The 23544-nt window shown below is 39.2% G+C and overlaps 1 protein-coding gene and 1 long non-coding RNA gene across 6 annotated transcripts in view, besides 1 other annotated feature; one reads left to right on the top strand and one right to left on the bottom strand.

The window, feature by feature from the left end:
- The window catches only part of FAM163A (family with sequence similarity 163 member A), an 88423-nt gene extending 86091 nt beyond the window's left edge, over positions 1-2332 (bottom strand). For all 4 annotated transcript variants that reach the window (NR_138088.2, NR_138087.2, NM_001329714.2 and 1 more), the window contains exon 1: positions 2263-2332. The gene's annotated coding sequence lies outside the window, so the exon portion shown is untranslated. The remainder of the gene's footprint in view (positions 1-2262) is intronic.
- LOC105371635 (uncharacterized) overlaps positions 48-23544 on the top strand; it is a 39520-nt gene continuing 16023 nt past the window's right edge. For both annotated transcript variants that reach the window (XR_922329.3, XR_922328.2), the window contains exons 1-2: positions 48-100; positions 18059-18117. This is a non-coding gene — a long non-coding RNA (uncharacterized LOC105371635). The remainder of the gene's footprint in view (positions 101-18058; positions 18118-23544) is intronic.
- Positions 20267-20336: an enhancer, noted in NCBI's record as "active region_2153". NCBI's record gives its function as "activates an Ori minimal core promoter by ATAC-STARR-seq in GM12878 lymphoblastoid cells {active_cell/tissue: GM12878}" and the evidence as "EXISTENCE:reporter gene assay evidence [ECO:0000049][PMID:35858748]".

The following is a 23544-nucleotide window of genomic DNA, read 5'->3' as shown; positions in this document are numbered from 1 at the left end:
TGGGGCTCTTTGTGATACCTAACCTGTCTTTCTTTTTGATTACCTATCTCAAACGCTGTCCTCATTTTGGCCAGGACTGATGGAAGGCCAGATCCCAAAGGTAGGAGGCTGATGCTCAAATCTCCTAATGGAGCTTGACAGCAGCAGGATTAAAAGCACAAGTGCAGCACCCAGAAAGCAGTGCAGGAAGGCATATGCATCCTCGCTATGCCCATTCTCATGCTATCAGCTCTTTCTTTTAGAGAGCTGAACCATAAAGATAAATCTTTTCATAGAAACAGAAGTTTAAAAAAAATACAAATGATGAAAGGGCTTTGGAGAGTGGGAAAAGAGGACAGAAGTAAACTTCGCTGTGGTATTTCTAGGGGCCAGGAGCTGGTCTTGTCTGTAGAATAAATCCCTTTGGGGAAGCAGAGATATCAGTATGCAAAGGACAAAATGACAATTGCAGTAATGCTACTCTGATAGCTAGATTCATTTGTAAAACCAGGCCAACTCTGAAAGCAGCTACTGACTTATTCTCTTAGAACAAGTAACAACTGTTACAGGCAACTAGGAGCCTTCTCAGAATGGCCCAGCTAGGTGACTTTCCTCTGACATCCTTAGCATTGTACCTCTTGGGTCTACATTTCCACATTTGGCACTGAATTATTGTTGCTTTGCTCTGTTATTGAACTGTTTCACCTGAGTATCCCTTGCTTCCCCAGTGAAACTCTAAGATCCTTGAGGGTAGAACAATGTATTAAAACTAATTTAAAAATATTTACAGAGTGTCTATATTATGTACCTAACTGGAGGGAATTCAAATAAGTGTAAGGGGCTCACAATTATAGTTGGCAAAATAAAACACATACATAGAACACCTATATGGCAATGCAAGGCAATGACTGTTGAAGTCACAAATACATAGGATATATTATCAATATACACCAAGTTTCTTTGGAAAGAGAGACTATTCTAAAGAAACAACAAGGGAAGACTTTGAGAGGCAAGAAGTCCAAGAAGAGAAGCCTCAGTATGCTCCCTTTCAGCTGGCAGGAAGAAAAACAAAAGGGTCCGTTCTGATCCTGTGTCCTTGAAGAGGAGAGAAATGTTGTCTTTCCAGACCAATAGCTAATCAACCAGCTACAAACAGATGCACGTACTGAGAAGCTGGGGTTAACTGACGCTTTAACAGGGCTTATATGCTGCACATATGCCCAGGTCTTGACACAAACATGTATCGATGTCTCGGGGAGTGAGCTGGCACTCTGAGGAAAGGCACTACAGTGACTTCAGGACAAAAACCATTTAGTCATCTTTGCCTTCCGCTAGTTTACCTTGATTGTAGATTAAACCAATAGCTTTATTATTTTGCCACTGTGGCTAATCTTTGGTGGTTTAAGTGCTCCTAAATAGTGAAAACTGGGGAAATGTGTCTATTTGGCAGACACTGAGCAAATGAAAGACCAAAAACAAACAAATCACAAACCCACAAACATCAACCCTCCCAAATTATCACAGGGAGATATGGAGATGCCAGAAAACCCATCTGGAGACCACGAATTCACTGGGTGCTCTTACATCTGTGCTATAATCAAAATGAAGCTGCAACAGGAGCTGCAGAGAGAAAAAGGAGAAAGATCACTTACTGCCTGATGTTATGTGCCTGGCAGCACCCCCAAAGCACTCTTTCAGGCTGAAATGAGCTGTCATCTCACCGCATCCTGCCAGCACCAAATGCACTCTGACAGGCCACTTAAAACACAAAACCCTTCCATTTACAATTCCTGAAAAAGTAACTTTTATCTGTAGTGGCCAAAGATACAGTCATTCACAACTGTGGATGACCCTCTGAGTCACCATGTACGTTCCCAGGACTCAAATAAGATAATCACAGTTTGAAAACATTTTTAGGAAAAAATGAACTTTGAATGGACATACAAGGGACTAAGGATAGGAAACATAATATTAAGAATAGGGATGTGCTTACTATGTGACAGGCACTGGGCTCAGCATGTCAGAGGGGCTATTTCATTTAACCTGTGCAACAATATTCCAGCTACTGTCTCCTTTTTCTGCCCACTCACAGCAAAATCTCTGGAGTTGTCTAACATCATCTCATTTCCCATTGATTATTCCACCCATTATAATCAAGCTCCTATCTTTACCCTCCATTCTTAAAGTCACCAACTTTCTTATGTTGGCAAATCTATTAATAGTAGACACATCCCTACATCTTACTCCATCCTTAATATTTTGTCAGTGTTTGACACCACTCACTGTGTTTTTCTTGGGAGCTTCTCTTCTCTATGCTTCCAAAACACCACACAGTTAGTTCAAGATTATGTCAGTGTTCTCATGGTGCTTCTAGAATAATATCCTAACTCCCCATTGTGACCTAGAAGCCTGATGTGATGTAGCTTCTGTCTGCTACCACCACCTTCTCGTCCCCGGCCACCATCTCTGTTGATCACTTCATGGTGGCCATGTAAGCCTCCTTTCTGTTCCTCAGACAATCCAATCTCAGGACCTTTGCAGCTGCTGTTCACGCTACCTGGAAAGCTCTTCTTCCATGCCACCCTTATAGAGTGGGTTCTTCTTAATCTTCAGACTTCAAGTTAATGTCACTTCCCTAGAGTGGCCTTTCTTGACCACACCATCCAAAGTGTCCCCTTACCACCCCTACCTACAGTTATGCTCTCCACCCGCATGTTTCTTTCAGAGCACTTATTAACTTTAAATATCTGTGCCACCTGTTTGTTTGTTTGTCTGTCTCCCTTACTAGGCTGTAAGCTGCACAGCCATGGGAGTTTGTCTAGATTTATTGCATGTCTCCAGTGCCTAATAGTGAGTTAGCACATAGGAGGAGTTCAATAATTACCAGTTAAATTAACGCATGTTACTTTAACCCCATATTATGCTGAGAAAGCTGAGGTTCAGAGATTGCACATTTCTAAGTTTTTGAGCTAAGATTTAATCCCAAGTTTTCAGAGTCCACACTCTTAAAACCATTACCTAGTAGTATTCCAGGGCAGTCTTGCTACTAGGACTTAGTTACAGCTTCAGAGGAAAAAAAATCACATTTCTTTATTTTATAGGGTTTTATAAGGTTTGACAGAAGTGACTTTTAAGGTTTGTCATAGTATCTGTTTGATATCTGAATCTCCTTCATTCAGTCAACAAACGTGGCCCCTGTAGGCTCCATGAAAGTGAATACTGTGTCTGTACCCTAGACTCTGGGTGTGTTCCTGGCACATGATAACCCTTTTAATAATTATTTATTGAAGAAAACATTTATTGACATTTATCAGGCATTCTGCTTAGCACAGGAAAGAAAAACCTGTTTGAGAATATTCCCCTGGCATCCAAGAGCTCATATTTGCTGTTTCTCAAAGAGTAGTCCCAGAACCACCAGCATCAGTACCACTTGGTGTGCTTGCTGAAATTCAGATTTCCTGGATTCAACCTAAGGCCTAATAAAAATCAGCTTTCTGCCTGATGCTTATGCATTCTGAGCTTTGAGATCCACTCCTCTCTAGGGAGGCAGTCATTTAAACAGCCTTCTCCAATAAAGCATGATCAGTTTTCAAAAAGGGTAGCATGGAATCTGGTGGAACCAAAAAGAACACAAAATCCAGACAGATGAGGTAGAGTTGGTAGCAGTTTCCTGGAGATGATGCCCTAAGCTGAATTAGCCAGAGGAAGGGGAAGAGGAAAGCCACTTTAGGCAAAGGGAGCAGCTTATTCAAAAGCAAGGGGGGTTGTTCTCAGAGGATAGGTTGTGAGGGTGAGTGGAAAGAGAAGTAGAACAAATGGGACTTGGAGCTGGATTGTGAAGGGCCTTCCCTGTATATTTTGCAGAGGAACTTGGACTTACTCTTGAAAGCAATGGAATCATTAATTTGTAGTGGCACCAGTTTGCATAGAGTATGATTTTTCCCCAATAGTATGTGGTATCTTGCCTGTATGAATGGTGAAGGCAGATTCACATCAATCCAGGATTATGTTTTGACCCATGGGTAGAGAAAAAGACAAAAAGAATAAGGAATTCAGAGCTGACCAGAGTGGTTAGAATGGCTGGAGAGAAAATGAAGGGAAATGCAGGAAAAGCTGCTGAGAGAAGTCAGAAAGGTGAAAGGACCCACATATGGATGGGTGAAGACGTGTGGTGGTGATAAGGGAGCTAAAGAGCCAGAAGAATGGGAAGTTGTTGTTAGAAAGCAGGATGCTTGAGTTTCATATTTCAGAAATTGAATAGCTCCTGATGACAATGAAAACCAGAATGTAGCCGGGGGCACAAGGGGATGGAGTGAAGACGAAAATCACTGGAATCAAGGTGAAGACACTGCAAAGCTAAGTCGCTGGATGGGTCTTCAACATGAACAGTTTAGTCATCCAAGACAACAGTGTAAATTGGGTCAGAAAGAAAGACTACAAGTCAGGAGCAAAGTCTTTGCCAACTAATTTTTTACAAATTTCCCATTCCCGATGTTCCATTGCTCATGAATTTTTCTATTCTCATTTAACAAATATTTGAATGCATATTCTTTTTCTTTAACCACTTCTCCCTTGGCATGGTCAGGAACTTAGTCAGCGATTAAGATGGCATTATATAAATGGCACTGGGAATCTGGATACATAAAAAATATTAAGTTGGGGCTGGGTGCAGTGGCTCATGCCTGTGATCCCCGTACTTTGGGAGGCTGAGGTAGGTGGATCACCTGAGGTCAGGAGTTCAAGAGCAGCCTGGCCAACATGGTGAAACCCCGTCTGTACTAAAAATACAAAATTAGCCAGGTATGGCGATGCATACCTGTAATTCCAGCTACCCGGGAGGCTGAAGCAGGAGAATTGCTTGAACCTGGGAGATGGAGGCTGCAGTGAGCTGAGATAGGGCCATTGCTCTCCAGCCTGGGCAACAAAAGCGAAACTGCATCTCAAAAAAAAAAAAAAAGAAGGTTGGATTCCTAACTTATTTCTTAGTAAGAATAAATCTCACATAGATCAAAGATTTAGACTTAAAAATAAATATCTTTTTCTTATAATTTTGGAGTTCAGTAGGACTTTTAAGCATAACTCCAAACTCAGAAGCCATATAGGAAGAGGTCAATAGACTATGTGGACTCACATAATCGACTCCGAAAATATACAAACCACACAATAGACAACAAGACTACATATGCTGCATAAGTTTATAAAATCTGATACATGTAAAAGTACAAACACATGCAACAAATTTGGAAAATATTTACAATATATATAACAAAACTCTAAATTATTAATGTATAGAGCTTATACATATTAAAGAAAAAGACCAATAACAATAGAAAAATAGGCAGATGTACAGAAAGTACACAGAAAAGGAAACATGAATGAATTTTAAACATAAAATAATGCCAAACCTCATTTGTAACAAGATAAATGCAAATTAAGGCCCTGAGACACAATTTTTCACCTGTCAGACTGAGAAATATTAAAGTCTGCTTAACACTGAGTGGATGAGGCAGAAACAGGGACTCTAATATATGTTTGGGGTTATAAATTGGTATAAATTAGGAACAATTTGGTAATAGCTTTCAAAATTAAAAATGTTTATACTATTTGAGCTAACAAGTCCATTTCTAGTAATTTATTCTGCAGACACACTAGCACCTCTGTACAAAGATGTTCATTAAAGCATTGTTTGCAATAGAAAAACACTGGAAACAGACAATGTTTACTAGTAGAGGATTAGAAGTAAATTATGGTGTAGCAATAAAAGACAACACTATACAGCAGTCAAAATGAGAAAGTCTGTAAATGTGTACTTAGATATACTGTTAAGTTTTTTTTAAAACAAGATGCAAAACACTACATAGAGCATGTTGTTATTTGCTATATATATAAATACATAAATAGGGCCAGGTGCAGTGGCTCACGCCTGTAATCCCAGCACTTTGGGAAGCCAAGGTGGGCAGATCATGAGGTCAGGAGATCAAGACCATGCTGGCCAACATGGTGAAACCCCATCTCTACTAAAATACAAAAAAGTTAGCCAGGGGTGGTGGCGGGTGCCTGTAATCTCAGCTACTCGGGAGGCTGAGGCAGGGAAATCACTTGAACCCAGGAGGCGAAGGTTGCCGTGAGCTGAGATCATGCCACTGTGCTCCAGCCTGGTGGCAGAGTAAGACTCTGTCTCAAAAAAAAATCTCTCTCTATATATATATCTATATAGATAGCTATATAGATATATATATGCCAGATGTGGTGGCTCACGCCTGTAATCTCAGCACTTTGGGAGGCTGAGGCGGATGAATCGCCTGAGGTCAGGTATTCGAGACCAGCCTGGCCAACATGGTGAAACCCTGTCTCTACTAAAAATACAAAAATTAGCGAGCATTGTGGCACATGCCTGTAATCTCAGCTACTCAGGAGGCTGAGGCAGGAGAATCACTTGTACCCAGGAGGTGGAGGTTGCAGCGAGATGAGATAGCGCCACTGCACTCCAGCCTGGGCGACAGAGCAAGACTCTGTCTCAAAAAAAAAAAAAATTAAAAAAAGATGTATATATACCTATTCATATCTATATGTGTGTGTGTGTGTGTGTGTGTGTGTGTGTGTGTAGATCCTCTGAAAGGATGTTAAAATGGAAGGAGTATCCCTGCTTCTACCTAAGGCCAAGCCCTCCTCTTGTGCCCTGTTCCTATCCCCTCTTACCTTCTCAAGGACTTTATTTTTGAAATGATCTTCTTTCTTTCCTGAATTAATTTCTTTTTCTTTTAGATTATTTCATGTGCATATAAACATGCCTTAATATAATACATTTTAAGAAAAACTCCCCTTGATGCACATTTCCCATTACCTGGGCTCTGCTGCTTCTCTCACATATTTTTAAATCAATATTCCTCCAGCGGATTAGTTGTAATTTTTATATCCCCTCCTCAGCCCATTTCAATTGAGCTTTTGATTGTACCAGTTCACTGAAACAATTGGCAAGGTCACCAATCACCATTACTTGGCGGGCCAATAGTCAACACTTTGTTGCTATCTCACTTGACCTTTCTACAGCATTTGACGTGGCTGACAACTCCCTCATTCTTGAAATCCTCATCTTTTCTAAGTTTTATGAAACCATACTCATCTGGTTTTTCTCCTACCTCAAAGCTGCTCCTTCTCAGGCTATTTTATTTTTGTCATACCCAAAGCTATTTTGTTTCTCTTCATGCTAGAATGTAAGCTCATTGAGGACAGGGACTCTATTTTGTTCATGGCTTTATCCTCAGGACCTAGAACAGTGCCTGGCAACATTCCCCCTGGGATAAGAAATTTGATGACTAGGCCGGGCGCAGTGGCTCACATCTACAATCCCAGCACTTTAGGAGGCCAAGACGGGCAGATCACCTGAGGTTGGGAGTTCAAGACCAGCCTGACCAACATGGAGAAACCCTGTCTCTACTAAAAATACAAAATTAGCCAGTAGTGGTGGTGCATGCCTGTAATCCCAGCTACTTGGGAGGCTGAGGGAGGAGAATCGCTTGAACCTGTGAGGTGGACGTTGTGGTGAGCTAAGATCACGCCATTGCACTCCAGCCTGGGCAACAAGAGTGAAACTCTGTGTCAAAAAAAAAAATTCGATGATTAAAGAAAATGGATGGATAGAGACTTTTTTCTATAGGACCCCTTTGAATCTTTTATGTTTTGTACAACTTGTACATATTAGCTATAAAAATAATAATTACACAAAATTCCTCAAACATTGAATTTTACAATATGGGAAGTTGAAGAATCTTGAGAGTCATTCAGTCCTCTTCTCTACCGTTTACAGGGCCATGCCAAAAAAGTCTCACTCTGTAACCCAGGCTGGAGTGCAGTGGCAGGGTTTTGGCTCACTGCAACCTCCACCTCCCAGTTCAAGCGATTATCCTGCCTCAGCCTTCCAAGTAGCTGGGACTACGGGTGTGTGCCACCAGGCCCAGCTAAATTTTTTTGTATTTTTAGTAGAGACAGCGTTTCACCACATTGCCCAGACCGGTCTTGGACTCCTGGCTTCAACTGATCTGTTCACCTCGGCCTCCCAAACTGCCAGGATTATAGGCATGAGCCACCGCACCCAGCCAGGAAGTGATTTTTATAGGTCCCCTTTGGCTTTGGTTTTCTTCCCATCTCACCCAAACCCAGATGTATTATCAGTTGTTTCATTAGACATTGTCAGTAGCTATTCATGATTCTAAGAAAATGTTTTACTTGTGAAAAATGGGATCTTTCATCAACCCTATAGTCATGCAGCGAGATTCCTTGATGTTGATTGTCCTTGGAAACTGGGAGACAGTTCAGGTTTTATAAAACCTGGCCTGGGTTCTTGGCCACAGATGCAAACTTATCTATAATTAAGCAGCCGATAACTTCGCAGGGAAGAAAGGTGATTTGTGAGCTCAATGTGATTCGTGAGCCCAAGACAGATTTAGGATGGTATATGCCTGTTTCTCTGCTAAAATATCAGACATGGCCTCTTGTAGGTCTGAACCAAATGGTGGGAGTCATTACTGAGGTAAGAAGATCATAAATCATGGAAACAGATTGAGGCACTCCTCAGGGTTCTTGTCACAAGTCATTCTTCTTTTTCTGGGACCTACTGTTCTTGGGACAACTCTGGAGAGTTCGTGTCCTAATACTTGCCAAGACTGAGGTTGTGAGCAAGAGAGTTACATAATGCTATTGAGTGATTAAGGAGATATCTGATTTTCACTAGAATTCACATTTCCTTTCAGATTACCCAATATTAATCCTTATTTAAATTCTTTTTATTTTTTACATATTCCATGGCTACTGTTAGGGAAAACTAGTAATTTCTAAAGGCTTAGGGGTTCAGACATAAATTGATATAGTGACGGGAAAGTAAATAACGTTTATTGACTACCTCCTACATGCCTGACACATTTGAGATTTTGGCATGAGTTTGGGAAAAGAAGCATCAGTGACCAATATACTTTGTAAATATTCTCCATGAAATATGAGAGGTAGACAGCAATTATTCTTAGAATATGGCAGATCAATCTTGGTATAGAATCAAATGACTTACAATGAAAGGCATCTGGATTTCCTAATTCTGGTATCTAATGTTATATTCTAACAACTAGAAAGTCCTAAACATCTAAAGCAGAGATATATACCATTTTCATCACCACAGAAAGAAACTCCATACAAATTAGTAGCCTCTCCCTGTTCGCCTCTCCCACCAGCTGCTGAAAATCACTAATTGACTTTGTGTCTGTATGCATTTACCCATTCTGTATATTTCATATGAATGCAATCATCCAATATGTAGCCTTTTGTGTCTGGCTTCTTTCACTTACCATAGTTGCAAGGTTCATCCATGTTGTAGCATGAATCAGTACTTTATTCCTTTTTATGGATAAATAATATTCCATTGTATGGATATACCCCATTTTGTTTATCCATCGATCAGTTGTCATGAGTCAGTAATTTGGGTTGTTTCCACTTTTTGGCTATTACAAATAATGCTTTTATGAGCAATCATTTACAAGTTTTTGTAAGAAGTTAACTTTTCATTTCTCTTGGTATATAGCTAGGAGTGAAATTTCTGGGTCATATGGTAATTCCATATTTAGTTAGACTGTTTTCCAAAGTGACTATATCATTTTACATTCTCACCAGCAGTGTATGAGGGTTCCAGTTTCTCCACATCCTCACCAACACTTATTAGCTGTCTATTACAGCCAGGCTAGTGAGTGTGGGGTAAAGTATTAGGTTGTGGTTTTGCTTTGTATTTGCCTGATGACTAATAATGTTCAGCACCTTTTCATGTGTTTGTGGGACATTTGTTTATCTCTTTTGGAGAAATGTCTATTCATATTATTTGTCCATTTTAATGGAGCTATTTGTCTTTTTATTGAGTTATAAGAGTTCTTTATATATTTTATATGCAAGTTCCTTATCATATATATGACTTGCAAAAATTCTCTCCCATTCTGTGGGCTGTCTTTTCACTTTCTTGAAGGTATCTTTTTGAAGCATGAAAGTTACTAATTTAGGTGAAGTCCAATTTATGTATTTTTTCTTTTGAAGTCCTAATTTTTCTTTTGTTGCCTGCATTTTTGGTGTCATAACCAAGAAATAATTGTCAAATCCAAAATCACAAAGATTTATGCTCACTTTTTTCCCTAAGAGTTGTACAGTTTCAGCTCTTAAGTTATTGATCAATTTTTAGTTAATTTTACATATAGTGTGTGATAGGGTCCAACTTCCTTCTTTTGCATGTGTCTATCCATTTGTTTCAGAACCATTTGTTGAAAAAATGACCCTTTTCCCATGAATAATCTTGATACCCTTGTCAAAAATTAATTGTAAATGTATGGGTTTACTTCTAGACCATTAATTCTATTCCATTGTTTTATATGTCTATCTCTATACAAGTACCACACAGTCTTGATTACAGTAGATTTATAGAGAGTTTTGAAATCTGAAAGTATGAGTCCTCTAACTTTGTTCCTTTTTTGTTCTTTCCAAGATTGTTTTGGCTATTTAGTGTCCCTTGTATTTACATATGAAATTTAGGATCAGCTTGTCAATTTCCACAAAAAGCCAGCTGGGATTTTGATAAGGATTGCATTGAATGTGTAGATCAATTTGAAAAGTATTGGCATCTTAACATGCTACAAAGCTTGCTCTTCTTACCAGGTTTCAGCTATTTTTCTTGACTAAACATTCTTTGGATTGCTGCAAGTCTTTGGCTAAGTTTCAGAGTTCTGAAAAAGTTGATTCTGTCAATTTTGCTGCTGTTTTTATTGCCTTTATGGAGGAAAGGATTTTTGAAGATCTTTACTCTGCCAATTTCCCAGATGGCTTTAGGTCCTGGGCTGATCAGTTGTTTCCTTCTCAATCTTAAATAACCAGTTGTGACTGATGCTTCCTCAAGAGATCAACTGATTTGTCTTTCCACTGCATGCCTAAGAAAATACCAACTTTAGCAAAGGAAAATGATGTATCTGTTAAGAAAAGGAGCTTCAATTCATTGTAAGTGATTAATTGGAATTGTGAAAATGGAAATCTTCTGTTTCCAAAAGGTCGAAAGGAGATAAATGTAGTTCAATATTTATCCCACATGAACAGCTTTCCTAGGAATGTGGGGAAATTTTCATGAACTCTGCACACTTAAATGTATGTACAGAATAAGATATAGCTGAAACATTGGGTACATATGGACGTAAAGATGGGAAAAATAGACACTGGAGACTCCAAAAGGGGAGGGAAGAGGGAAAGCTTGAAAAACTACCTGTTGGTTCACTATCTGGGAGACAGGTTCAGTTGAAGTCCAGACTTTAGCATCACGTAACATATTCATGTAACAAACCTGTACATGTACCCCCCAATCTAAAATAGAAAAGGAAAGTAAGATATTGCTGGAGAGGCCAAATGCCAATGGATACTGTTCTCTGAATAGACCCAAGATACACATATAAAATTGCTGTTTAGAATTTTAGTATTATTTATTTGTTTTCATACAAATATATTGTGGAGACAGGACATGGAAAAGAGTTGCATTTTCTGAGTGAGATCTTTGGACTCTTTCTTTTTCAAGGGGAGATACTCTGATTCTCTCTATCCCCTATGTCTTGCTTTAGGCCTTCATTACTTCTGCATGGATTATGGACTATTGCAATAACCTCTTAACTAGTCTTCCTGTTTCCAATCTTGCCTCCTTCAAGTCTATACTTCATATTTGCTGTCAAAATACATCTTTATAAAGTGCATTTGAAATCCTTCAATGGCTCCCTATTAAACTCAAAAATCTCAACTCCTTTGTATGGCCTGCAAGGCCCATTTTCACTTGGCTTCTGCATGCTTGGGTAGCCTTATTTCTCTATCATCTTATTTGCACCCAGTGATCCAATCATATTTACCTATTTGGAACATTGTGTTCCTGGTCCCCACATCTCTATGCCTCTGCACATGTGGGTCCTCTTTTCTTGGTACACATCCACTATCCATCTTGTTTAATCTATGCACTCGTCTGTCAATTTATGTGCAATGAATGAAGTGAAGAAGAAATGAACTCCTTTTAAATATCTATACACTAATTAAAAATTACTCAGTTTAAACACACATCAAAAATTTTGGATATTGTGGTGGTCAAATTCAGCAGAAAGTGCCGTAAGCACAGTGTTGCACTACTTCCATCAGGATGGAAGATGATTCCCTGTCAGGTATAGCTAAAGCAATCTAGATAAAGAAGAGCAAAGCTGCAAGCATCACACTTTCTAAATTGTCACATGATGCTACATGGTTCTGGTGTTCTCAAATTAATCTTTGCAAATGTATATGCTTTCTGAGAGAATTTTTAAATCACAAAGAAAAACATAAACTAACACCACCATAAAGCCTCCAGATGATGCAGAGAAAAACTATCCCAGTTAGTGTACATGGGTGGCAGAACAATAGTTGAGATCACTGCCTAGAAGAGAGTGCTGAGTCTAGAACATAATTGCAAATCATTCTTTTCCTTACTATGGAAAAACAGAGGGTAATGTGGTTGAAGGGGGTTGGGTAATATCAGTAAATTAGTAACTTTTATTCACCAAAAAACTTTTAGAACTAATAAATTCATTAAAGTCAAAAAATACAAAATCAACATAAAAATAATGAATTATCTGAAAAAGAAATAATGAAAACAATCCCGTTTATTATAGCATCAAAAAGAATAAGATAGGAACAAATTTAATCAGGAGGTGGAAGATCTGTATACTGAAAACTGTAAAACATTGATGAAAGGAATTGAAAACACAAATAAATGGAAAGATATCCCATGTTATGGATTGGAAGACTTAATACTGCAAAAATGTCCATACTACCCAAAGTGATCTACAGATTTAACATAATCTTCATCAAAATTCCAATGACGTTTTTCACAAAAATAGAAAATAAATTCTAAAATGTATATGGAACCACAAAAGACCCCAAATAGCTAAAGAAATCTAGATAAAGAAGAGCAAAGCTGGAAGCATCACAGTTCCTGATTTTGAATTATATTACAAAGCTACAGGAATCAAAACAGTATGGAATTGGCACAAAAACAAACACATAGATCAGTGGAACAGAATAGACAGCTCAAAAATAAAGCCATACATATACAGTCAACTAATCTTTGACAAAGGTGCCAAGGATACACAATGAGAAAAGGATAGCCTTTTCAATAAATGGTGTTGGGAAAACTGAATAGCTAAGTGCAAAAGAATAAAATTGGAGCCTTATCTTACACTATACACAAGAGTCAACACAAAATGGATTAAAGACTTAAATGTAAGACTTGAAACTGTAAAACTCCTAGAAGAAGACATAGGGAAAAATCTTGACACTGATCTTGGCAATGATTTATTGGATGTGACACCAAAAGCACAGGTCACAAAAGTAAAAATAGACAAGTATGACTACATTAAACTAAAAAGCTTCTGCACATTAAAGGAAACAATCAGTGGCATGAAAAGGCAACTTTTGGAAAGAGAGAAAATATTTGCAAGCCATATATTTGATAGGGGCAATATCCAAAATATATAGGAATTAACATAATAGCAAAAAAATAAAAAATAAAAATAAAAAATAAAAAAATGAGCAAAAGACCACAATAGACATTTTTCCTAAGAAGACATACAAATGGCCGACAATATATGAAAAGATGCTCAACATCACTAATCATCAAGCAAATGCAAAACAAAACCATTATCACCTTATACTTGTTAGGATGGCCATTATTTGTCAAAAAGACAAATATCAAATTATCAGAAAGACAAAAGACAAATGGTTAATGTTGATGAGGATGTGGAGAAAAAGGGACCCTGGTACACTGTTGTAGAAATGTAAAATGGTGCAGTCAAATGTAAAATAGAAAACAATATGGAGATCCCTCAAAAAATTAAAAATAGAACTACCATATGATCCAGCAATCCCACTTCTGGATGTATATCCAAAGGAGATGAAATCAGTATCATGTAGAAATATGTGCATGCCCATATTTGCAGCATTATTCACAAGAGCCAAGATGTGGAAACAGGTTGGTGATGTTAGCAAGATGGTAGAATAGATCTCCTGGCATCACTTCCCCCACAACAATACAAAGAGAAACCATCTAAAGAAGAATACCACTATGAATTCACCAGAACTCAGGGGAGAAGCAATGAAACCTCCTGGGCCCACAGAGTTGAGAGAAGCTGCAACTGGTAAGAGAAATGGTCATTTCAGAATGAGCTAGCCACTCCCCAAGCTGGCATAATGCCACTCACAGAGAATTTCCCTAGACTTACAGTTTCTGAAGTGAGAGGAGGGAATTGGAGGTGGACAATGGATCTCCTCACCAGTCTGGGAATTTTCACAGGAAGTTGACTGTGGTCTCACCCTGCAGGAACCACTAGGGGTAATAGGAGAGTTGAATCACTGGGGTGAATTGGAGCCAAAGAAGAAGGCATTGATGACAATGACTGATCCATGGATCTTAGAGGTTATTCTGTGCTCTGGACAGCAGGGACACCACATTCAAGAGACTGGCTTGCCCCATAGCACTGCAAGGGGCACAATTCATGAGAAGGCCCAAATTCCTGGCTGAATTTTTTACAAAGCCCAAGTGCTTATGTGGAGCCTTTCTCTGGCTTGGAAACAACTAAAAGATCAGGATTAAGTTCCAGTGCCTATTTAAGTAAGCCTTCTCCAGACTAGGAAATAATAGGGTAGCAATATAGTTCCAGGGCAATGTTTGAGTTCTGATGTTTGCTGTTAGTATTCCCCAGATGAAGAAATAATGAAAGAGCAGTGAGTTAGTTCCATTGCAGTGTTTTCATTCTGGTGCTCACTTTAAGTCCTCCCCAGAACAGGAAGCAATGTTGACCAGTGCTTAAGTTCTGATACTAAGTAGTAAAACTCTAATACCACCTAAGAATACCTGCAAAACCTGAAAAAAGTGGCTATCTCTTCAAATGCACAGGTGTTGATATAAAGCTGCAAAGACTGTGAAAATTCAGGGAAATATGACACCACCAAGAGAAATGAACAAAGCTCCAGCAATAGACCCAGAAGAATTGTGGATCTGTGAAATGTCTCACAGAGAGTCAGAATAATCCTCTTTAAAAAGTTCAGGGAATCATAAGAAATACAAGAAAAGACAGAAACTAAATGAAATTTGGAAAACAATCCAAGAACAAAATGAGAAATTTTACAGATAAATAGAAACAATTTTTAAATATCAAATGGAAATACTGGAAATAAATAATACAATAGCTAAACTGAAAAACTCATTAGAAAGCTTCAACAGCAGGCTTCATCCAACAGAGGAAAGAATTAGCAAGCATGGATACAGAACACATGAAATTATCTAATTAGAAGAGCAAAAAGAATTTTAAAAAAGAGTGAAGAAGGCCTAGGGGAATTATGGGACACTGTCAAGAGAACTAACCTTCACATAATAGAAATTCCCAAAGGAGATGAGAGAGGAAAAAGGCCTAGAAGGCATCTTTAGGGAAATAATGGCTGAAAATGTTCCAAATCTGGAGAAAGACAACAGCATCCAGGTATAGGAATCTCAGAGGTCACCAATCAAATTCAAAACAGGAATTCCTCAAGGCACATCATAATCAAATTAGTAAAAATCAAAGACAAAAAAAGAACACTCAAGACATTTAGAAAAAGGAAACATATCACATTCCATAGAGTCCCAATACAGCGTTCAGCAGATTTCTCCACAGAAACTCTGCAAGCCAGGAGACATGGGATACTATATTCAAAGTGCTGAAGGGAAAATACTGCCAACCAAGAATACTGTACCCAGTAAAGCTATCCTTCAAATAGGATGCAGAGAGACTTTTCCAGACAAACAAAAACTGAGGGAATTAATCTACATAGGACCTGCCTTACAAGAAATGCTAAAGGGAGTTGCTCAACCTGAAAGAAATAGATGCAAATGTGAAATGAGAAAACACCTAATGTAAATGACGAGTTAATGGGTGCAGCACACTAACATGGCACATGTATACATATGTAACAAACCTGCACATTGTGCACACGTACCCTAGAACTTAAAGTATAATAATAATAAAATATACATATATATAAGAAAAGGGTGATAATAATGATGATAACACAAGCCACCATCAATAAAGTACCTTTTTTTGAGATTAAAAAAAAAACCTGAAGGTATTAAACTCCTGGTAAAAGAAAGCAAACAGATAAATTCAGAATACTTTAATATTGTAATTGTGGAAATAAACCACTTATATCTTAAGTATGAAGACTAAAAGACAAAAATATTAAGATATGGAGACAACCTAAGTGTCCATCAACAGATGAATAGGTAAAAAATTGTGGCAGATAGCTAGCTGGCTATGTGTTTGTGTATGTATGTGTGTGGTTACTAATCTTTTGCAAGATCCAAATATTTTTCCCATTCTGTAGGTTGCCTTTTCATTCTATTGGTTGTGTCCTTTGATAGAGTTTCAAATTTGGGGGTAGTCCAATTTATCTGTTTACATTTGTTGCCTGTGCATTTGGTGTCATATCCAAAAACCATTATCAAACTCAATGTCATGAAGCTTTCCCACTACATTTTTTTCCTAACAGTTTTATGATTTTAGGTGTTACCTTTAGGCCTTTGATCTATTTTGAGGTGTATTTGTATATGGTATAAGGCAAGGGACCAACTCCATATTTTTGCATGTGGATATTCAGTTTTCCCAGCACCATAAGTTGAAAAGACTGTCCTTTCCCCATTAGATGGTCTTGGCACCCTTGTTGAAGATTCAATCACCATATAATTGGACATTTATTTCTGCCATCTCTATTCTATTCATTGGTCTATATGTATTTCTTTACACTAGTCCCACACTATTTTGATTACTGTAGCTCTGTAGTGGGTTTAAAATTTGGAAATGAGACTTCCAACTTTGTCTTTCTTTTTCAAGTTATTTTTGGCTGTTCAGAGCCCCTCAAGTTTCCATGTGAATTTAAAAACCTAATCCTTATACAAAAAAATGGTGAGCTAATTTCAAAGTTTTATTTAACTCTTTAATGATGAACTCTTTAATGATGAAACCAGTAGGATGGCCAAGTAGGTTCCAAAAAGAGTTTGAGAAACTGAGATTTTTATAATGAGGGGGAAAAAAGGAATTCTGCAATAAATTTGCTAGTTACATATTGTCGTATAGGAAAAATATACCCACCCACCCCCCCTTTTTCTTAACCAATGTAAAGAACCTTTTCTACCAATATAAAGAAGATGATCCATGGGTCTTCTTTACACTGGTAGAAACAAAAATCACCTTATAAATTTTACAGACTTGTAAAATGTTTGAGTCATGATCAGTTGTGTAAATAAAGTAGGCTCATTAGAAAATGTTGTTAGCATGACATAAAAAGTCATATAATCATCTTTTATCTACAAGTTTTAGGTAATTTTCCTTTAACTTATTTTATTTTATTTTATTTTTTAAGACAGAATCTCACTCTGTCACCAAGGCTGGAATGCAGTGGCAAGATTTTGGTTCACTTCAACCTCTGCCTCACAGGTTCAAGCGATTCTCATGCCTCAGCCACTGGAATAGCTGGGATTACAGGCATGCGCTACTACGCCCAGCTAATTTTTGTATTTTTAGTAGAGATGGGGTTTTACCATGTTGGCCAGGCTGGTCTCGAACTCTTGACCTCAAGTGATCTGCCTGCCTCAGCCTCCCAATGTGTTGGGATTACAGGCATGAGCCACTGCGCCTGGCCCCTTTAACTTATTTTTTACTTTTTTCCCCACCAACTGGGAATAATATCTCCCACATTTCCTTTTTTTCTTTTGTGCTTTTGAAATACCATTTATATGCTTTGGAAATACCTTCCATACACTAAAACTAGAGACAGGTATATGACCTTTAAAATCCAGCACAGGTTTTTTTTGAGAAATCTTCCTCCAATATACCCTTCTCTCCAACCCTAGAGTGAGTGAAGTGTTCTGTGCTCCCAATGTTCCCTGTACGTGCTCCATAATGGCACTTATCACAGCCTGTCGTAGTTGCTTATTTTAAGTTTCTTCTGCCCTGTCCCACCAAACTGTGAGATCCCTGAAGACAGGAACAGTCTTTCATCTTCAGCATCGAGCCTGATGCCTGGCACACGGTAAGTCCTCAACAAGTATTTGTTAATTAAATGAAGAAGTTGAGCTTTAGCCATCCAGAATCAATTGTCTAGATGTCTGTTCACATTTGGTTCTAGTGTCTCTTCTTACAGCCTCTTCATAAGTTTAAAATGGATCCTTTAAATTTGTGAGGAGCTAGAGACTTATCTTGGAAGAACTCTAACAACCATCTTTCATTTTATATGTGATTAAATTATACATTGTTAAAGTGATGAAATTTAACATCTTTTCATAGTTTAAAAATGCTATGTCCTATTGACATATATGAGGAGTTAGAAATGAGGGACCTACTGACTGGTATTTGTCTGGAAAAGGGAGGATTAAGAAGTGCAGTTGTCTCATTTACTAGAAGGGTCAATGTAATGTTTTGTCCTTGGCAAAAATCTCAAGATTTTAGTTAATTCTCATATTACTTTGAGAAATAGAATAGAATCTAAGAAGGTTCTATTTGGTTCTGGTCATTCAGAGCCTCATTTTCTTATTTATTGCCTCTCCAAAAGGCAAGCACTCCAGGAAGTTATCTAAACTATTATAGTCACTAGTTTATTCCTTTTCAATTGGTTTTGTCACATTCCCTTGCTAGATAGCAATATTTTTTGGGTATTTGTTTTGTTTTTTGAGATGGAGTCTCACTCGCTTACAGCTGGGATAATAATGTTTACTGCACTGCACTCCAGGCTGGAGTGCAGTGGCGTGATCTCAGCTCACTGCAACCTCCGCCTCCTGAGTTCAAGTGGTTCTCCTGCCTCAGCCTCCTGAGTAGCTGGGACTACAGGCACACGCCACGACACCCAGCTAATTTTTGTGTTTTTTAGTAGAGACACAGTTTCACCATAATGGCTAGGCTGGTTTCGAACTCCCGACCTCGTGATCCGCCTGCCTTAGCCTCCCAAAGTGCTGGGAAGACTGAGGAATAATTTCAGACTCTAAAATGTGGAATGGGTCAGTGTCACCTAGCAAGGTCCTTGGGTGGGTTGTGATAGGGGAGGGCAGGGCAGGGGGACTTTGTGGCCACTCATGGGGCAGAACCAAATAATGGTCAGAGGGAAAAGAGCTGAAAATGAAAATTGGAGAATGTTGAGGATCAGTATGGCTCACTTCCCAGTTTTGCCAGGCCAGCTCTGCCTGACGAGATCTGCCAGGTCTATCTATGATTTTCCTCTAGAATGTTGGGTGTCATCCAAGGTGTCCTGAGTTCTAGCATCTGGTCATTTTTTACAAGAAGAAAGAACAAGCTCTTGCTGTGGGCATTTAGTTAATGCCAGGGCCGACTTTTTACCCCTCTATGCCTGGTCACAGTTGCACTAGGGAGCTACCCTCTTTAGTAAAGGATGAGCTCTTTTAGTCAATTTAATACCCTGGAGACAGGAGGTGACACAGCCTGTGTCAAACAGGCCCCCAGTAAATTTTCATTGAATTAGAAAATGACAGCTCTGTAATTTGGTGACTAGGGACATGCTGGAGGCCCACCTGGAATGAAAGGGGAAAGGGAGAAGAGAAAAGGGCATTGCAAACCATGCTCCCCTCAAGATACTTCTTTCTCCATTTTCTATTGTGTGTGTTTTAGCCATGTTAATACTACACCTCTGTAACCTGCCCTAGACTTTTCCAGCTAGCAATTGCATATTAAGATGGTATTAGGCTGGTGCAAAAGTAATTGAGGTTTTTGTCATTGAAAGTAATAGCAAAAACCGCAATTACTTTTGCACCAACATAATAATATCTTTAATCAGTAATTCCAGACCCTAATAGTGCAGAAATAAGGTGGGTCAAAAATTTACACAAGGCTGTTGAGTAAACATTATTATCCCAGCTGTAATGATTTTTTTTTTTCTCCTGGGACTTTCCAGGGGAAATGATTTTCAGCAGCAAATCTGCTTCTCTGCTCCACCTTCCTGTTGGCGTCAATGGAGACTGACGCCAACAAGCTTCCTGCGCTTTAATTCATCTCTGCTGAGCTACTGCATTGGGGTCATAGAGAGGTTACAGCAGATGTTCTTCTCACTGCTCCTGCTTAACATTCACTTTGGTTTTCTCTTGGGGGTTACCAAAGTAGGAAATAACCTGGGGGGAGATGATAGGATATAAGGGCTTGTGGCCCTTGCGGTGATTCTGGGCAGTCAGGCCCAATTCTTTTTCATTTTATCAATCAGGCAAGAACCTCAAGCTCATTGCCTGGTCCTCCTAGGTAGCATTATCTTGTTTATCCTTGTATTCTTGGAGGTCAGCACAGGAACTGGCACATAGAAAATACACACTTTTTTGTTGTTAAATAGAGGGCAATACTGAGGGTGTGGGGAATGTGGCAATTGCCTGGGCAGAGAGCTGTGGACAGTTCTGTGCCTTGAACCAGACTGTCCCACAACAAAAGGACCACTCCAGCTGAGGTGTGAGCACATTCTCCACCTCTGCCCGTAATCTCCTCTCCAGGCTGTGCACTCTCAGTTTGTTCAGATATTTATCGTAAGTTGAAACAGAGGGAATATATAATGCAATGGAAAGGAGCAAAAGCCTTTGAAATCATTCATTCACAATAAACAAACAATTATTGTGTACAGAGGTGCTATTGTTCTAGCCTCTTGGGATATGATAATGCACGAAATGGACAAAAATACCTGCCCGGTGGAGTTTAGATTCTGGTTGGTGGAGACCTACAGTTCACAATAAAAAGAATGAGTCATGTTAGAAGTCAGGTGCTATGGAAAAAAGTGGAGCAGGATTAGGGGCATTGGGAGCACAGCGTTGAGAAGTCATTTTAGAAATTACCTCTTTGAGAAGACGCAGATGCTGGAGGAAGAACAGCCAAGGCAAGAGCCCAAAGTGAGGAGCTATGCACTGGAAGAAAGTGAGGAGGCCAGTGTGGGGGAGTGCAGTGAATAAGGGGGAGATCATGGGAGATGAGGTCAAGGAGGTAACGGGGGGCATATGTAGAGCTGGTGGATATGCCTGGCAGATTTAGCAGATAAAAATTTGCAATCTCAGCTAAATTTGAATTTCAGATAATAATTTTAAAAATACAGATATGCCTCAAATATTGCATGAAACCATACTTAAACTAGAAAGTTATTAGCTGTTTACCTGAAATCCGTATTTAACTGGGCATCCTGCATTGTCTTTGGCAACACCGCTGTGGACCATTGTAAGGACTCTGAGTAAGACTGGGAGCCCTCAGGGGGCCTTGGGCAGAGGAGGGATGCCAGCTGCCTTGGAGCTTGAAAGGGCCCCTCTGGCTGCTTTGTGGAGAGCAGAGTGAGAGAGCACTGTGGACAGCAGGGAAGCCAGACAAGGCTGCGAAGTGGTCCAGGCTCAGTACAGTAACTCTGACCTGGTGGTGGAGGTAGGGTTGGTGAGAAGCCGGCAGATTCCAGACACATTTTGGAAGCATAGCCAACAGGATTTCCTATAGATGTAGATGGTAGTTAAAGCCAGGAGACTGGGGGAATTCCCAAGAGAATGAGGCCTGGTGCCCTGCAGCATTAAGAGGCCAGGAAAAAGAGGAGGAGGCACAAAAGATGCTAAGGCTTTGACCAATGAGTACGAGGAAACCCTAGAGAATGAGATGTGCTGGGAGGACAGAAAGTGTCAGGGAGGAGGATTGTCAAGTGTATCAAATGCTACTGATAAGTCAGATGGGATGACTGAGGGCTGACTAGTGGATTCAGCATGGAGTTGCTGGAGACCTTGACAGGAGCAGTTTTGGTGGAGTGGTGTAGGTGGAACTGGAATTGGTTTAATAGGTAATCGGAGAAGTATAAGAAGATAATATGGGCAACTCTTTGGCGAAATCTGACTTATTTAAGGTCCTACCACTTACTAGCGTGATTCTTGGTAAATAATTTTCTGATCCTCAAGTTTTTCCTCTTGTAAAAAAAAGAATAGTAACAAGGATGCTGTAAATATTAAATATGTAAAAGTTTTGGCATATAATGAGCATTTAGTAATTGGATATTAAGATTATTGTAATACAATATTAATTTCTGACATGATGTTGGCAAAATGCATTTCTGTGCCTTGATTTCCTTATCTGTAAAATGGGAGTAATAACACCACCTACCCCATGGTGCTGTTGCAAGGATTACATGATGTAATCTATATAAAAGCACACAGAATAAACAGCTTGTGGCACATATGAACTCCATAAAACTCTTATTATCCGATCAGTTCTCTTGTGAATGCTGGTCTATCTTCTTTGTAAACGTTTTGCTTCCTAGAAGCCAACAGAGGTGTAGAACTTATCAAACTACTCCCTTGTCTTATATACTATCCTTGTGTTAATGTGATTTAAACTTTAGTTGGCAGCAGCCTCTGCTGTTTTGCAATTTGTAAAGTCCTCTGTAAGTGATGGTTATTAGAGCTGACTCCTGATGTGAGTTAAAACCAGGCTCTGACCACAGAATTTGCTTGTCTTCATTTGAGAGTGAAGTCACAAGGGTTAATCAGTTTTCCATCTCACCGAGAATCTGGTGAGCAAATAGTCATATTACAGGATGCAGAATTCCTACAGGCATTCTTGTTTTTGTTTTTTGAGATGGAGTTTCACTCTTGTTGCCCATGCTGGAGTGCAATGGCGCGATCTCGGCTCACCACAACCTCTGCCTCCCAGGTTGAAGTGGTTCTCCTGCCTCAGCCTCCCGAGTACCTGGGATTACAGGCATGCACCTCCACACCTGGCTAATTTTGTATTTTTAGTAGAGATGGGGTTTCTCCAGGTTGGTCAGGCTGGTCTTGAACTCCCAACCTCAGGTGATCTGCCCACCTCGGCCTCCCAAAATGCTGGGATTACAGGCATGAGCCACTGCGCCCGGCCTCCTGCAGGCATTCTTAATCATTTTTGAGAATCTGAGCAAGCCAAGAACCTTCCCCCAGAAAGGCAGACAAACACAAAACTTAATGCCCTGGAATTAAAAAAATCATTTTAAAGACTAAAAAATGTGCCAAAATTGTAAAAATTTTCTATTTTTTCCTATAGCAGTAATTTATAAAGGAGGTGAAAACACATCTGCATGGAAAGGCCAAAATAAAGATGGCAAAGTGATTTTTTTTTCTTAAAACTTTTTCAATGCAGCAAGATAGAATCAGTACTTGTAGCTTCTGAAAGAGATTAGGGGTTGTTGGTGTTTCCCCACCACCTTCAAAGAATAGATAACTATACAGTATTAAAGTTTAAGTTCTGTAAAAAGGGAGTGCTCTGTGGCCATTTCCTGGAGGGTAAAATTAGAAAGGGAAATTTTAATCTGTGGGAAGATCACACATTAAGAACCTATTTCCAATGAATTCATGTTCTAGGTCACTTAACTTGTTTTTTTTTTTCTTCCAAGTAAAAAGAGGGGTTGGATGAAGTTAGCTCTTAGCTCCATTTTTAACTCTAAAACCTGCGATGAAACACACAAGGGAAGGATTTTTAGCAG

The sequence above is a fragment of the Homo sapiens genome, chromosome 1 (genome assembly GCF_000001405.40).
Source record: "Homo sapiens chromosome 1, GRCh38.p14 Primary Assembly".
Classification (NCBI taxonomy): domain Eukaryota; kingdom Metazoa; phylum Chordata; class Mammalia; order Primates; family Hominidae; genus Homo; species Homo sapiens.
Note: the sequence above shows the minus strand (reverse complement) of the source record. Positions and strands in the feature narration are given on the sequence as shown.